At 41.1% G+C, this 16,704-nt stretch overlaps 1 protein-coding gene across 1 annotated transcript; it reads left to right on the forward strand.

Annotated features, from left to right (window-relative positions):
* The first annotated feature begins 1,183 nt into the window (after positions 1-1,183).
* On the forward strand, positions 1,184-3,205 carry CCL7 (C-C motif chemokine ligand 7). The gene is made up of 3 exons (NM_006273.4): positions 1,184-1,329; positions 2,109-2,226; positions 2,660-3,205. Exons 1-3 carry the CDS (start codon positions 1,254-1,256, stop codon positions 2,763-2,765), a joined length of 300 nt encoding a protein of 99 aa, NP_006264.2. The 5' UTR covers positions 1,184-1,253; the 3' UTR covers positions 2,766-3,205.

A 16,704-nucleotide genomic window follows, 5' to 3' on the forward strand; every position in this document is an offset into this window, starting at 1 on the left:
GTAATGTGTATGTGAGATGAGGAGCTAGTTGTATGTGAGATGAGGAGCTAGATTAGTGGTTTCCAAAATTTATTCTTTGTATTTCTGAGATATGTGTGTGGGAAGAATGACAAGAAGTCTCTTGTCTCTGATTCAAACTGAAGGTCTCTGATTTTGTCGATAAATTTGCCTTCCCTATATTCTTTTACTTGGAAAAATATTTTCACAGCTCATTAGATGTTTTAGAAACACAGTATTTTAAGATCTTGATATGCTGTGCAGTTCCGATAGCCTATAAAACAAATAGTGGTTTTAAAACATATCCTCAAATTATTTTACACTCTTCCCATTAAGAGGTATGACTATGTTCCCTAACCTTGCACCTGGGATCCTTAAGCCATCATGCAAAATATCTAGCCATGTGGAGGGACCACTGGAAAGATCACACACACACACACACACACACACACACACACACACATACAGAGAGAGAGAGAGACACCTGAGAAATTCCATCTGGTCCAACTGCTGGCTGTTGAAGTCCTCCCAGCCCAGACCCCAGACACTGAATGAAGGCCTTGTGATATAGTCAAGAGCAAAAAAACCCAGAAGATTGTTATTGTTTTAAGTCACTGTTTTCAGATAGATTGCTATGCAGCAATAGATTATTGAAATAGACACTACAATTTTAGGTACTATTATTCTAAGAATATTGAATTTTATTTTTCTGCTAATGTTCTATTATTTTACTTTTCTCTGGGTTTTAGAAAGCCACCAGGATTTAAGACAGTGAAGAATCTTTGAGTCCTTTGTAGAGTTGAACCAAAGTTTGAATGTCTCTTTGTGGACTCGTGTCCTAGGGATACCACTCCAAAGGGAAAAGGGGAATATCCCTTACATATCTTTGACTTTGGTATCCCTGATTCCTTCCTTTTTCTATAGAATGTGTCTCATTTCAGAGAAACTGGTCTCTTGATAATAGCCATAGATTACATACTGTGGTCTTCCTCTACATAGACCCTACCTCACCTACCACTCCTGGTCTTAGCTGAAAAACAGGCTAGCCTCGACTCATACTGTCATTTCCTATCCTCCCACTGAAGTGCACTGGCTCAGCAGATTTATTACTCCATAGATTTATTACTCCATTCTATGATTCATCCTCTCTGCTTCCTATAAAAGGCAGAGACAGAGCTTCCAGAGGAGCAGAGGGGCTGAGACCAAACCAGAAACCTCCAATTCTCATGTGGAAGCCCATGCCCTCACCCTCCAACATGAAAGCCTCTGCAGCACTTCTGTGTCTGCTGCTCACAGCAGCTGCTTTCAGCCCCCAGGGGCTTGCTCAGCCAGGTAAGGTCCCTCTCTCCTTCTCCTTGAAGCACATTGCCCCCTCTCTGGGTTATCCTGGACCAATCAAGAAGACCTGATACCCACAGTCTCACTTTAACAGCTACTTTTCCAAGATAAGGTAACTTAGAAAAAGGATAAGGGGTGAGCCCAACCACACAGCTGCTGTTGGGTAGAGCCTGAACTAGAATTCCAGCTGTGAACCCCAAATCCAGCTCCTTCTAGGATTCCAGCTCTGGGAACACCCTCAGTGCAGTTACCACTCCAGCTGCTTCCAGCAGAATTTGGGATCAGGGTGATCAAAGACAGGAGGCTTCTGGGGATGGGTGTGCGGGCTGTTTCCAGATACCGGGAGACCCAGAATCTGGTCTGTGGAAGCCCAGCTTCCAGAAACAGCAGCTCTGCAGAGGTGGTACGTATCAGGGAAACTCATGACCAAGCATTGAATGCTCAGAGCCTAAAAGGGGATCCATAGTTGGGGTACCCTTGCTCTAAGGAATTGGATTATTATATTAGCCCCTCCTAGCAATGCCCAGAGTAGCCATCAATTCCTCTTCCGTCTTTCAACTGGTGATGGTGCATCCCTATTTCACAGTCCATAAAAGTGAAAGGGAGTTTATGAAATGCCTCAAAGGGCAGAGACATTGGGTTTGGGATGGGCAGCTTTTCCCTCCACCTCTTCCTTTCTTTCTGATTCCTTCTTCTTACCATTCCCTGTTTTACAAACAGAAAGACCCAGGACACACCCTCAATGGACTTTTCTTCTTGTTGTTTCATTGCAGTTGGGATTAATACTTCAACTACCTGCTGCTACAGATTTATCAATAAGAAAATCCCTAAGCAGAGGCTGGAGAGCTACAGAAGGACCACCAGTAGCCACTGTCCCCGGGAAGCTGTAATGTATGTGGACGATGACCACCCACCCCTCACACCTCAGTCCTAGGTTCTTCCCTGGGCAGGGAATAGGACTAGTATCAGAATGAGTTGGAGTCAAATACTGTGATGCATACAGCATCTCTAACCTTATCCCAGACATTTGCCAGTGAGAAACAATACAAGTAAAGAAAGTGGCTTCTCACTCTCAGCTCCCTTTCCAGCTATCATTTTACATCTCAGTTCGTTCCTTCATCCTGGAACCAAGAGAGATTCACTTGGGCTACCAAAAAGAGCTGCTTCTCTGAGTCCCCTTCCTTTGTTTTATCTTCTTCCTTCATCCCTGAGGCATCCCCATCAGCTAGGCTGATGGGCTAGACAGATTTCCCATAGACTTGGTCACACTCCCAGGCTGAACCCTCAAGGTGTTCCATCTGACTGTCTCCTTTCTGCTCCACAGCTTCAAGACCAAACTGGACAAGGAGATCTGTGCTGACCCCACACAGAAGTGGGTCCAGGACTTTATGAAGCACCTGGACAAGAAAACCCAAACTCCAAAGCTTTGAACATTCATGACTGAACTGAAAACAAGCCATGACTTGAGAAACAAATAATTTGTATACCCTGTCCTTTCTCAGAGTGGTTCTGAGATTATTTTAATCTAATTCTAAGGAATATGAGCTTTATGTAATAATGTGAATCATGGTTTTTCTTAGTAGATTTTAAAAGTTATTAATATTTTAATTTAATCTTCCATGGATTTTGGTGGGTTTTGAACATAAAGCCTTGGATGTATATGTCATCTCAGTGCTGTAAAAACTGTGGGATGCTCCTCCCTTCTCTACCTCATGGGGGTATTGTATAAGTCCTTGCAAGAATCAGTGCAAAGATTTGCTTTAATTGTTAAGATATGATGTCCCTATGGAAGCATATTGTTATTATATAATTACATATTTGCATATGTATGACTCCCAAATTTTCACATAAAATAGATTTTTGTATAACAGCTGCCATTCATGGTTTTTTAAAAGGATAAAGTAATAAAGCTGGTGGGGGTAACAGGGTGACAAGGTGAAGGGCGTGGTTGCAGAGGTTGGGCTCACATTGTGGAGAAATGAGCGCGTAATGGACTCTGGGCTTTCCCCCAGGCCAGGCTCACCTGCATGTTAGGGAGAGGCAGCCACAGGCTGGGGCCAGATGAACCCACCCCCCAGCTCCAGATCTGACATCTGCTTCAGCCACTTGTTCAAATACCTTTCTTTTTTCCCAAACTCATTCTTTTTCTCACCATCCCACGCTCTACCCAAAAGCCTGTCCCCTCTTCTATTCTATCAGCCTTGTGACTGGCTGGTTTTCCCCCTTCTAATCAATCCTCTAGTCTAGTAAATACAAATGTCACTTTCATTAAAAAATCAAGTAGGAGACCAACAGATGATTTGGCAAGTGCCTGCCATCATTGATTTCTGCCACCATTGGTGTTCAGACCAAGTCCAACATCCCTTTCTACCCCTTCTTCAGCCCACCAGTTCTCACCCCCAAACACCAAAGTCAACCTTAAACAATGAGATTCAGAAAATGTGAATAAGTATTCAGTTCATTCAAGGACAAAGCTTGAGGGTGGCCACTTGGAAAAGCATCAACTCCAAACAACCGGAAAAGTTTCAGTTACATAAGTAAAGACAGAAGTTCCAGCCAGATTACAACATTTTTCATACTAGACAAGGTGCATACACCACAGTGATTTGATTGGTTATAGGTTGCTATGTTCTAAGGAAGATTATTTGCTATTCCTTAAGGAGAGGTAATGATCTGAGGGGTCTTACCTCTGCCATGGCTCAGTCTTCTTAATTGTTTACAGGAAACAGCAAAAATGCAGAAGTTGTAGGTGCATGCCACACAACTCAGATTGCATAGCCACATTCCTCTCAAGGCTCAGAATAATTAAAGTCCTAATAGCTTTAAGTTTAAATTATTTGAAGTTTGACTTATTTAATTTAATTTCACACCAATAAGGAGGGTAATCTTAAATTCCAGGAGAGAACAACCAGCAGGCAGACCAGGAGTAGAGGTGAATGAATAGATACTGTGAGACACAGTATTTGATACATGCAAATATTAAGCAGAGTGTTTGATGGTAGGACAGGAAAGGAGAGAAGGGCTACATGTGCTCAAGGTCAAACAGAATCTGCTGAAACTTCATTTTCAAAAAATTATAAAATCATGTGTTTTCATGCAGGCCTTGTACTCTTGGGCACAGAGAATTAGAAAGAACAGGAACAGAGAGGCTGGTATATAACTGGGCATTGAGTTCAATGGGATTCAAAGATTAGGCTAGTTACACCAGCAATGTGCCTAGTAAATTTAGGCAAGTTACTTTACCTGAGCAAGCCTCCATAGATTGAGATGTAGAGTAGGTCAATGAGTCGTATTCACATCAACATCACTTAGATGCTAATAAAAAAACACAGATTTCCAGATACCATCAGCAAAGACTCTGATATGGAGTGTTGGGTGGGGAAGGTGTCACTTACACATTTTTAACTATTTCTCAGTCATGTCTTGGGACCAGTGAGTTTCCCTGACACTCTCTTTTTCAGATCAATGTAGTCTCCAGGCTTGATCTGTGACCTCTGGCTTAGGCGTAAGGAGTGTTTTTTGCTGGAACTTTCCCACCTCCTAGACTTTGCTGCTGGACATGTGCCAGTCATAAGTAGCAGAGACTGCAAATGTCCCCCAGATATCTGTGGGCTCTTCTATATTCTCCAGCCCAAATTGCATTTACCCAGGGGCTGTGTGATTGAATTCTAACCAGTTGGGTGAGGGCTAAAATGATATGAGCCACTTTCAGACCTTGTCCCTATAAACAGCTCTCTCTTCCTCTGTTGTGGTAATGTTAGGGGTAATGTGTTCCATATAGCTCAATTTCAAGATGGAAGCAGTCCATATCCACAAGTCACTGGTCACCTGGCCTACCTTGAACTGTGACATGAGAAAGAAATAAACATTTGCTGTGTCAAGCCACTAAGCCTAGTTTGGAGCCTATTTTAACCCTGATTAATAGAGGAATTAGTAGCACAATCATGTGCTACCATTAAGAACATGAAAAATGTAGCATTAACTAGATATTTAGTAGCAGGCAGTGAGGAAGCTGATGTCACAGTTTGAAGAAAATAAGAGATTCATGTTACAAACTGTCAAACCTGTCAGGTGCTATCTGCTGAAATAGCAGCTCCAAGGGGAAAGTTTGATAAAGATACATTAGTAGCATGTTGATTGTTTTTGTCTTCCTTTTTGAAGGGATTCCGAGAAAGAGATGAGCTCAGAAAAAAAAATCAACTGGTCATAAGGTAGAAATGAAAGATAATAAAATCCACAAATCCAGGACCTTATGTTGTTGGAAAAGCCATCTGTTTCTGGGTCCCAAATATTAAGAGAAGGTATTTAAGGATGAAAAAAAATCAGCAATAAAAGTCTATGGGGAAAAAAAAAAAACTCTTAGTTGGATGAAATAACATAGGGCAAAAATCAGATTGAAGTTGTAGCCTAACATTCAAGCCTCACAGCCTTCCCTATTAAGAAGAGAAGGAGAAGGAGAAGGAGAAGAAGAAGGAGAAGGAGAAGGAGAAGGAGAAGGAGAAGGAGAAGGAGAGGTAGAGGGAGAGGGAGAGAGAGAGAGGAAAAATAATTGGAAAATTATACCAAGAAAGAAACTTGGGCTGTGGCTGCTGGCATATGGAATTGACTGAGAGTGAAGATATCAGAAGCCCACTGTTATTACCAGAGCTGTACTATATTGTCAGTGAAACCATGAGTGGTCCTGACAAGTTCAAAAAGAAGACAAACTCCAGGCCTTGCTGTACAGCTTGCAGTCCTCAAAGACAGCAGAGCCCCCAAGAAGAGCATGTCTCTCTTCAATACTCACTTCAGAGGTGACCAAAGGGGAATAATGGAAAAGGAGGGAACTCACAAAGGAAACCAGAAACCAGGATCAACAAGACAACAGAGCTCCCCCAGAAAGAGAGAACCAGTCTAATCAAGGATGGGGGACTTTTTTTTTCTTTTTATTATACTTTAAGTTCTCGGGTGTGTGTGCACAACGTGCAGGTTTGTTACATAGGTATACATGTGCCATGTTGGTTTGCTGCACTCATCAGCTTGTCATTTACTGTAGGTATTTCTCCTAATGCTATCCCTCCCCCAGCCCCCCACCCTCCAAAAGGCCCCGGTGTGTGATGTTCTGGATGGCAGACTTTTATAACATCTGTCTGAAGGATTTTAGGCTTGGCACAGTGCATTGGCCATTGATGAATGCCATCTTTCTTTCCATAAATGAGAGTGTTGATTACAAGTACCCTGTCCTTTTCAAACTTGAAACTTTAGGTAAGTGACAAATTATTTGTCTTTTTAGCTCATAGGGTCACTGGACAAAGTAGATCCATAATCTCAGCTGATGGAGATAACTAACCATCATCAAGAGATCCTGTCCATTTAGGTTGGTGCAATGACTAAATGGCACCTTGGGTTGTCTCTCTTGTGGGTGGATTATTTGTGTATTCTACATGTGAGAAGAAGTAAGCAAAAGGCAGATTCTAACAGAAATTATTAGTCTTCACCAAATATTCATGTGATCCTCTTCATGTCTCAGCTCCTCTGCAGTTATTCTGGAGTTGGATGATGAGTGAAGGCCAATGTGAAGTAGGCAGAAGTGACGTAAGCAGCTTTTATGTCTGGTTCTTTAAAACATCCTACACAATCTATCAACCCTCTCTCCACTCACATCTGGGAACTTGGAAGCCATATGTTCCATAGGAAAGCTGTAATTGACAAACAGCCTGAATCTATGAGTCATTCCTTACAAGAGAGCACTTTTGGAGAGCTGCCTAACCAACATCAGGCTACAATACAAACAAAAAGTAAATATTGCAGTAAGCCACTGAGGTTGTTGTTGTTATAGAAGCCTAGACTAGCATTACCCTGGCCAGTTAGCCCAGAAAAGTAGCTATGACATTCTGTGCCTCAGTTTTCCACCTCTGTACAAAAAAGTAAAGTTGATTGCCCTAAGAGGATTATAACAAAAAGAACATTTTAGGCCAGGTACTGTGTCTCACTCCTGTAATCCCAGCACTTTGAGAAACCAAAGTGGAGGATTACTTGAAGCAAGGAGTTCAAGACCAGTCTAGGCAGCAAAGCGAGACCCCCATCTCTACAAAAAATAATATTAGACAGATGTGGTAGCACACCTATAGTCCTAGTGACTCTGGAGGCTGAGGCAAGAGGATCTCTTGAGGCCCAGGAGTTCGAGGCTACAGTGAGCTATGATGGTGCCACTGCACTCCAGCCTGGACGACAGAGTGAGACACCATCTCTAACAAAATAAAATATTTTAAAAATTTTTTAAAAAGAATATTTTAAATAAAAAGGCTTTGGGAAACCTCAAGGCAATCTGGGAAGCAGGCTTCACTTTCATAAATAATTTCACAGAAGAGGAAGATATTTAACTTCTCTAAGTCTCCTTTCTCTCATCTTTAAAATGGACTTAATTAGAATAAGTTTGTTCGGAGGATTAAATAAGTCATCTCATGTGAAATGAAGTAAGATAGAGCCTTGCATAGATTGCATAGGTTAGCATTGCCATTGATAACTTACTATCTGCTGGACACATTGTTAGCATGTTTACACTAACATCGAGTTTGGTGTAATTCTCTTCCAAAAGTGATAAGAAACTGCAGAAATGAGCTCAGTGATGCTTGAGAAGGAGGAGTAATGAACCCTACGTTGGTCCTCTTTTGCACAAAGGGAGATTGAGACTAAGAGTTACGAAACATTTCAGAAGACAGGGAGTCAACCAACAGGGGCTCTAGAATCAACTCAGCCTAAAGCACACAGTTCCCTTAAGGATTTTTTCACTAGTCTCCAAGCCTCTGGTGTCTATTCTTTTATTTTTATTTTTTAAAGAGAGGGTTGGAATAAAATCAACGTCAATGTCTCTTTCCAGTTTGTCTATAACTTTGCAATATTAGAGGAGATCTGGAACACAGCTACAGAACAAAGACAGGAGTCCTGATTCCTGGGATCCTTGTCTGCTGATCACTGATCACTCACCTCTCCCTGAAAAATTCCTTTTTTTCCTTTTTTCTTTCTTTTTTCTTTTCTTTTATTTTTTCTTTTTAGAAGTCAGCCGGGAAGTTCGTCCTGGGCAGAACCTACAGTAGCACAGCAAAGCCGCTGTAGCCTGACTGCCTCTGTTGTTTCATCTGGGCAGGGTATCTCTGAAAGAAAGGCAGCAGCCTCAGTTACAGGCTTATAGATAAAATTCCCATCTCCCTGGGACAGAGCACCTCGGGGAAGGGTTGGCTGTGGGCACAGCTTCAGCATACTTAAACGTTCCTGCCTGCCAGCTCTGAAGAGAGCAGAGGGTCTCCCAGCACAGCACTTGAGCTCTGCTAAGGGACAGACTGCCTCCTCAAGTGGGTCACTGACCCCAGTGCCTCCTGACTGTGAGACACCTCCCAGCAGGGGTCAACAGATGCCTCACACAGGAGAGCTCCAGCTGGCATCTGGCAGGTGCCCCTCTGGAATGAAGCTTCCAGAGAAAGGAGCAGGCAGCAATCTTTGCTGTTCTGCAGCATCCGCTGGTAATACCCAGGTAAACAAGTCTGGAGTGGACCTCCAGCAAACTCCAGCAGACCTACAGAAGAGGGGCCGACTGTTAGAAGGAAAATTAACAAACAGAAAGCAATAACATCAGCATCAACAAAATGGATGCCCACACAAAAACCCCATCCAAAGGTCATCAGCATCAAAGATCAAAGGTAGATAAATCCACAAAGATGAGGAAAAAAAAGAGCAAAAATATTGAAAATTCCAGAAACCAGAATGCCTCTTCTACTCCAAAGGATCACAACCCCTCGCCAGCAAGGAAACAAAACTGGACAGAGAATGAGTTTGACAAATTGACAGAAGTAGGCTTCGGAAGGTGGGTAATAACAAACTCCTTCGAGCTAAAGGAGCATGTTCTAGCCCATTGCAAGTAAGCTAAGAACCTCGATAAAAGGTTACAGGAACTGCTAACTAGAATAACCAGTTTAGAGAAGAACATAAATGACTTGATGGAGCTAAAAAGAAAAGCACGAGAACTCTGTGAAGCATATACAACTATCGATAGCCGAATTGATCAAGAGGAAGAAAGGATATGAGAGATTGAAGATCAACTTAATGTAATAAACTGTGAAGACAAGATTAGAGGAAAAAAAGAGTGAAAAGGAATGAACAAAGCCTCCAAGAAATATAGGACTATGTGAAAAGACCAAACCTATGACTGATTGGTGTACCTGAAAGTAACGGGGAGAATGCAACGAAGTTGGAAAACACACTTCAGGATATTATCCAGGATAATTTTCCCAACTAGCAAGACAGGCCAACATTCCAATTCAGGAAATAACAGAGAACACCACTAAGATACTCCTTGAGAAGAGCAACCCCAAGACACATAATCATCAGATTCACCAAGGTTGAAATGAAGAAAAAAAATGCTAAGGGCAGCCAGAGAGAGAAAGGTCAGGTTACCCACAAAGAGAAACTCATCAGACTAACAGTGGATCTCTCTGCAGAAATACTACAAGCCAGAAGAGAGTGGGGGCCAATATTCAACATTCTTAAAGAAAAGAATTTTCAACCCAGAATTTCATATCCAGCCAAACTAAGCTCCACAAGAGAAGGAGAAATAAAATCCTTTACCGACAAGCAAACGCCAAGAGATTTTTTCACCACCAGGCCTGCCTTACAAGATCCCCTGAAGGAAGCACTAAATATGGAAAGGAAAAACCGATACAAGCCACTGCAAAAACATACCAAAATGTAAAGACCAATGACACTATGAGGAAAGTACATCATGATGACAGGATCAAACTCACACATAACAATATTAGCCTTAAATGTAAATGGACTAGAGGCCCCAATTAAGAGACACAGACTGGCAAATTGGATGAGTCGAAACCCATTGGTGTGCTATATTCAGGAGACCCATCTCACATAAAAAGACACACATAGGCTCAAAATAAAGGGATGGAGGAATATTTACCAAGCAACTGAAAAGCAAAAAATAAATAAATAATTAAAAAATAAAAAAGCAGGGCTTACAATCCTAGTCTCTGATAAAACAGGCTTTAAGCCAACAAAGATCAGAAAAGACAAAGAAGGGCATTACATGATGGTAAAGGGATCAATGCAACAAAAAGAGCTAACTATCCTAAATATATATGCACAGAATACAGGAGCACCCAGATTCATAAAGCAAGTTCTTAGAGACCTATAAAGAGACTTAGACTCCCACACAATAATAGTGGGAGACTTTAACACCCCACTATCAATATTAGACAGATCAAGGAGACAGAATATTAACAAGGATATTCAGGACTTGAACTCAGCTCTGGACCAAGCGGACCTAATAGACACCTACAGAACTCTCCACCCCAGATCAACAGAATATGCATTCTTCTCAGCACCTCATAGCACTTATTCTAAAATTGAACACACAATTGGAAGTAAAACACGCCTTAGCAAATGCAAAAGAACGGAAATCATAACAAACAGTCTCTCAGACCACAGTGCAATGAAATTAGAACTCAGGATTAAGAAACTCACTCAAAACAGCACAACTACATGGAAACTGAACAACCTGCTCCTGAATGACTCCTGGGTAAATAACAAAATTAAGGCAGATATAAATAAGTTATCTGAAACCAATGAGAACAAAGACAAAATGTACCTGAATTCCTGAGACACAGCTAAAGCTTTAGAGGGAAATTTGTAGCACTAAATACCCACATGAGAGAGCAGGAAAGAACTAAAATCAACAACCTAACATCACAGTTAAAAGAGCTGGAGAAGCAAGAGCAAACAAATTCACAAGCTAGCAGAAGACAAGAAATAACTAAGATAAGAGCAGAACTGAAGGAGATAGAGACATGAAAAACCCTTCAACAAATCAATGAATCCAGGAGCTGGTTTTTTTGAAAAAATTAACAAAATAGATAGACTGCTAACCAGACTAATAAAGAAGAAAAGTGAAAAGAATCAAATAGAGACAATAAAAAATGATAAAGGGGAGATCACCACTGATCCCACAGAAATACAAACTACCATCAGAGAATACCATAAACACCTCTACACAAATAAACTAGAAAATCTAGAAGAAAAGGAAAAATTCCTGGACACATACACACTCCCAAGACTAAACCAGGAAGAAGTCAAATCCCTGAACAGACCAATAACAAGTTCTGAAATGGAGGCAGTAATTAATAGCCTACCAACCAAAAAAAGGCCAGGATCAGACGAATTCACAGCCGAAATCTACCAGAGATATAAAGAGGAGATGGTACCATTCCTTCTGAAACTATTCCAAACAATAGAAAAAGAGAGACTCCTCCCTAACTCATTTTATGAGGCCAGCATCATCCTCATACCAAAACCTGGCAAAGACACAACAAAAAAAGAAAATTTCAGGCCAATATCCTTGATGAACATTGATGCAAAAATCCTCAATAAAATACTGGCAAAGCGAATCCAGCAGCACAACAAAAAGCTTATCCACCACAATCGAGTCCGCTTCATCCCTGGGATGCAAGTCTCTTTCAACATATGCAAATCAATAAACATAATCCATCACATAAACAGAACCAATGACAAAAAAACCACATGATTATCTCAATAGATGCAGAAAAGGCCTTCAATAAAATTCAACACCTCTTCATGTTAAAAACACTCAATAAACTAGGTATTGATGCAACATATCTCAAAATTGTAAGAGCTATTTATGACAAACTCACAGCCAATATCATACTGAATGGGCAAAAGCTGGAAGCATTCCCTTTGAAAACCAGCAGAAGACAAGGATGCTCTCTCTCACCATTCCTGTTCAACATCGTATTGGAAGTTCTGGCCAGGGCAATCAAGCAAGAGAGAGAAATAAAGTGTATTCAAATAGGAAGAGAGGAAGTCAAATTGTCTCTGTTTGCAGATGACATGATTATATATTTAGAAAACCCTGTAGTCTCAGCCCAAAAACTCCTTAAGCTCATAAGCAACTTCAGCAAAGTCTCAGGATACAACATCAATGTGCAAAAGTCACAAGCATTCCTATACACCAATAATAGACAAACAGAGAGCCAAGTCATGAGTGAACTCCCGTTCACAATTGCTACAACGAGAATAGAATACCTAGGAACACAAATTGCAAGGGATCTGAAGGACCTCTTCAAGGAGAACTACAAACCACTGCTCAACAAAATGAAAGAACACAAACAAATGGAAAAACATTCCATGCTCATGGATAGGGAGAATCAATATTGTAAAAATGGCCATACTGCCCAAAGTAATTTATAGATTCAGTGCTATTCCCATCAAGCTACCATTGACTTTCTTTGCAGAATTAGAAAAAACTACTTTAAATTTCATATGAAACCAAAAAAGACCCCATATAGCCAAGACATTCCTAAGCAAAAAGATCAAAGCTGGAGGCATCATGCTACCTGACTTCAAACTATGCAACAAGCCTACAATAACAAAAACAGCAAGGTACTGGTACCAAAACAGACATATAGACCAATGGAACAGAACAGAGCCTCAGAAATAACACCACAAATCTACAACCATGTGATCTTTGACAAATCTGACAAGAACAAGCAATGCGGAAAGGGCTCCCTATTTAATAAATAGTGTTGGGAAAACTGGCTAGCCATATACAGAAAACTGAAACTGGACCCCTTCCTTACACCTTATACAAAAATTAACTCAAGATGGATTAAAGACTTAAAGGCAAGACATAAAACCATAAAAACCCTAGAAGAAAACCCAGGCAATACCATTCAGGAGATAAGCATGAGCAAAGTCTTCATGACTAAAACACCAAAAGCAATGGCAACAAAAGCCAAAATTGACAAGCGGGATCTAATTAAACTAAAGAGCTTCTTCACAGCAAAAGAAACTATCGTCAGAGTGAACAGGCAACCTACAGAATGGGACAAAATTTTTGCAATCTATCCACCCAACAAAGGGCTAATATCCAGAATCTACAAGGACCTTAAAAACATTTACAAGAAAAAAAAATCCCATCAAAAAGTGAGTGAAGGATATGAACAGACACTTCTCAAAAGAAGACATTTATGTGATCAACAAACATATGAAAAAAAGCTCATCATCACTGGTCATTAGAGAAATGCAAATCATAACCACAATGAGATACCATCACATGCCAGTTAGAATGTCAATCATTAAAAAGTCAGGAAACAACAGATGCTGGAAAGGATGTAGAGAAATAGGAACACTTTTACACTGTTGGTGGGAGGAGTATAAATTAGTTCAACCGTTGTGGAAGACAGTGTGGTGATTCCTCAAGGATCTAGAATCAGAAATACCATTTGACCCAACAATCCCATTACCGGGTATATAAGGATTATAAATCATTCTATTGTAAAGAAACATGTACACGTTATGTTTACTGCAGCACTATTTGCAATAGCAAAGACTTCAACCAACCCAAATGCCCATCAATAATAGACTGGATAAAGAAAACGTGGCATATATACACCATGGAATACTATGCAGCCATAAAAAGGAATGAGTTCATGTCCGTTGCAGGGACGTGGATGAAGCTGGAAGCCATCACTCTCAGCAAACTAACACAGGAACAGAAAACCAAACACTGCATGCTCTCACTCGTAAGTGGGAGTTGAACAATGAGTACACATGGAAACAGGGAGGGGAACATCACACACTGGGGCCTGTCGGTGGATGGCAGGCAAGGGGAGGGAGAGCATTAGGACAAATACCTAATGTAGATGACGAGTTGATGGGTGCAGCAAACCACCATGGCACATGTATACCTATGTAACAAACCTGCACGCTCTGCACATGTATCTCAGAACTTAAAGAATAATAATAAAAATAAAAGATACCTTTTCCAATTAAAAAAAAGAAAAAAAACTCTTTAGAAGTCAATATTTTGTTTTCACAAGGGGGGATCCATTTCCTGCCCATCACTCAGGATCATTCCTGATCAAGGCCCCTCATTCATCAGGCACCAAATCACAGGCAAGAAATTGGTCTACTCTACTTCATTGCTGAAAAGAAAGCCTCCAAGAAAGAAAGAGAAAAAGCCCTTGAAGCTGCCCCTGCTTGCTAGGGATGGCCAGTGAGCTGGATGAAACAGCTGCAGAGCTTGGATATCTAAAGATTGATTTTATTTATTTCCACTGAGCCACTGAGGTTTTTCAGGTGTAGAGTAAATCCAAAGCCCATTAACTCCAAAGCCATTTTTCAAGGAAAACACAAAAATGAATAATCGCTTGCTGATAATTCCTTTAAATTCCCGCCAGAGTTATGAAATTATTCTTACTACAGAAACAATCATTAAACCACGTCAGACAAACACCTCTGAGGTCAATAATATTCCAAATTTATTCTGCCGAGAATTTTTTAAAACTTCGTATCTGCCACATGTGCAACTCAGGCATTCTTGGAAACCATCCCTGCGGTAGCATATCTTTACTTGGAAGCAGTGGGAAAACTTGGAAGAATATTTGGAGAAATATCCAGACTCTGAGGTCTTTCCAGCATTCCCAATCTGCCCTTCTTTTTTTTTTTTTTTTGAGACACAGTCTCACTCTGTTGCCCAGGTTGGAGTGCAGTGGCATGATCTCTGCCCATTGCAACCTTTGTCTCCTGTGTTCAAGCAATTCTCATGCCTCAGCTTCCTGAGTAGCTGAGACTACAAACACCATCCACCATGGCTGGCTAATTTTTTGTATTTTTAGTAAAGACAGGTTTTCACCATGTTGGCCAGGCTGGTCTTGAACTCCTGACCTCAAGTGATCTGCCTGCCTCAGTCTCCCAAAGTGCTGGGATTACAAGTGTGAGCCACTGTACCCGGCCCTATTTCCTAATAATAAAAAACAGTAACTTCTACTCACTGAGTACCTACAGTGATTTAGTCATTCTTCTAAGCAGTTTAGATACATGAACTCATTTAATTCACACGACAATTCCCTAAAGTACACATGATTAGTATCCTGCTCTTACCCTAGCAGAGAGTGGTTAAGTAAGTTGTCCATGGTATCACAGCTAGTCAGTCACAGAGCCATCATCCAAATGCAGATATCCTGAATTCAGGTTCTACATTAGACTAACCCACCAGGAATGGAGCAGGAAAGAACAGGGAAGACTCCACATTTTTGGCCTCTATTTGGTAATTATAGTTAACTTTTTAGGTAATTATAGACCAATTATCCTAGATGGGCACTTAGAGACTTTGCAGGACAGCAAGAGCTGTCTCTAATCCTGTGCCCATGACAGACATCACCAGTCAACCACAACACAGTATTTAACTAACGCAAGTCAACTCCTCAGAATCTTTAACATTCTTGTTTGTGCTACTGTACCAATCAATCAATTTGATATGAGAGTGTGCAGGAAAAAACAGGAAACAGGTTTGCAGTACCTCCACACCAGTATTCAATGCTGTAATCCGCTGCAGTGACTCCATTAAAGACTTTGCCTCCCTTATACCCTCTCCAACTAGGGTGCCTAGTGTTATGAACAAAGGGATATGTATAGGTTCTTGTGTTGCCTCTCTCTTTGATATTTTTAGCCATCAGATACCTTGTCTGCAATGTGTGCTCAGAGAGTGAGGGGGGAACTAGATGATTGATTTTCCAAATGTGTTCCCTAAATGTGTTCCCTGGGGAATAAGGGCACGAGAGGCTGCCTATTCTATTTCAAACAAATCCCCTTCACTACAGTGTATTTGATGAGTTGGGGTTTGTTTTAATTCCATTTGGAAAAGGGCTTTAGCAGCTAAGCAAATGGTTTTAAAGTGCCTCAGAAGTCAAGATTAATAGAAACTATCCAGTTCTGATGTCCTATCATGCTAAAATTTCAGGGACTAAGATTCTGTGATCATTACATTGAAACACAGCAGCAAAGCTGTGGTGTGTTGTCCTTCCTGGTTCAGAGATGCAACTATGTGCAGGGCTGCTGAGCTCTCTCTGCATCTGGGTGGGAGCCTAATGGAAGTTTTGGGGCTCCTTCCTGGTCTCCAAAATCCTCAAGACCACCATGTGAACACAGGAATCAAGGAAGGTTCTTAGATCGACTCATCCCCCAGGCCTTTGGTTTCCTTGCTCCTTTCCCCAACTACAGGTGTTTCATTTCAACTCATCCCCTAGGGCCTTGGTTTTCTTGCTCTCTTCCCCCACTACAGATGTTTAACTTCATTTCATAACCACATATTCCCCTCCTTTTCCAAGGCAAGATCCAGATGGATTAAAAAATGTACCAAGTCCCTCCTACTAGCTTGCCTCTCTTCTGTTCTGCTTGACTTCCTAGGATCTGGAATCTGGTCAGCAATCAGGAATCCCTTCATCGTGACCCCCGCATGGGCAAAGGCTTCCCTGGAATCTCCCACACTGTCTGCTCCCTATAAAAGGCAGGCAGATGGGCCAGAGGAGC

This window comes from Homo sapiens, chromosome 17 (assembly GCF_000001405.40).
Source record: "Homo sapiens chromosome 17, GRCh38.p14 Primary Assembly".
Taxonomy (NCBI): Eukaryota; Metazoa; Chordata; class Mammalia; order Primates; family Hominidae; genus Homo; species Homo sapiens.

Excerpts from the sequence above, each read along its gene's own strand:
- CCL7 (NM_006273.4), top strand. The coding sequence starts at position 1,254 with ATGAAAGCCTCTGCAGCACTTCTGTGTCTGCTGCTCACAGCAGCTGCT. Across the intron at positions 1,330-2,108 it reads CCAGGGGCTTGCTCAGCCAG|TTGGGATTAATACTTCAACT; the intron begins GTAAGGTCCCTC and ends GTTTCATTGCAG. Across the intron at positions 2,227-2,659 it reads TGTCCCCGGGAAGCTGTAAT|CTTCAAGACCAAACTGGACA; the intron begins GTATGTGGACGA and ends TCTGCTCCACAG.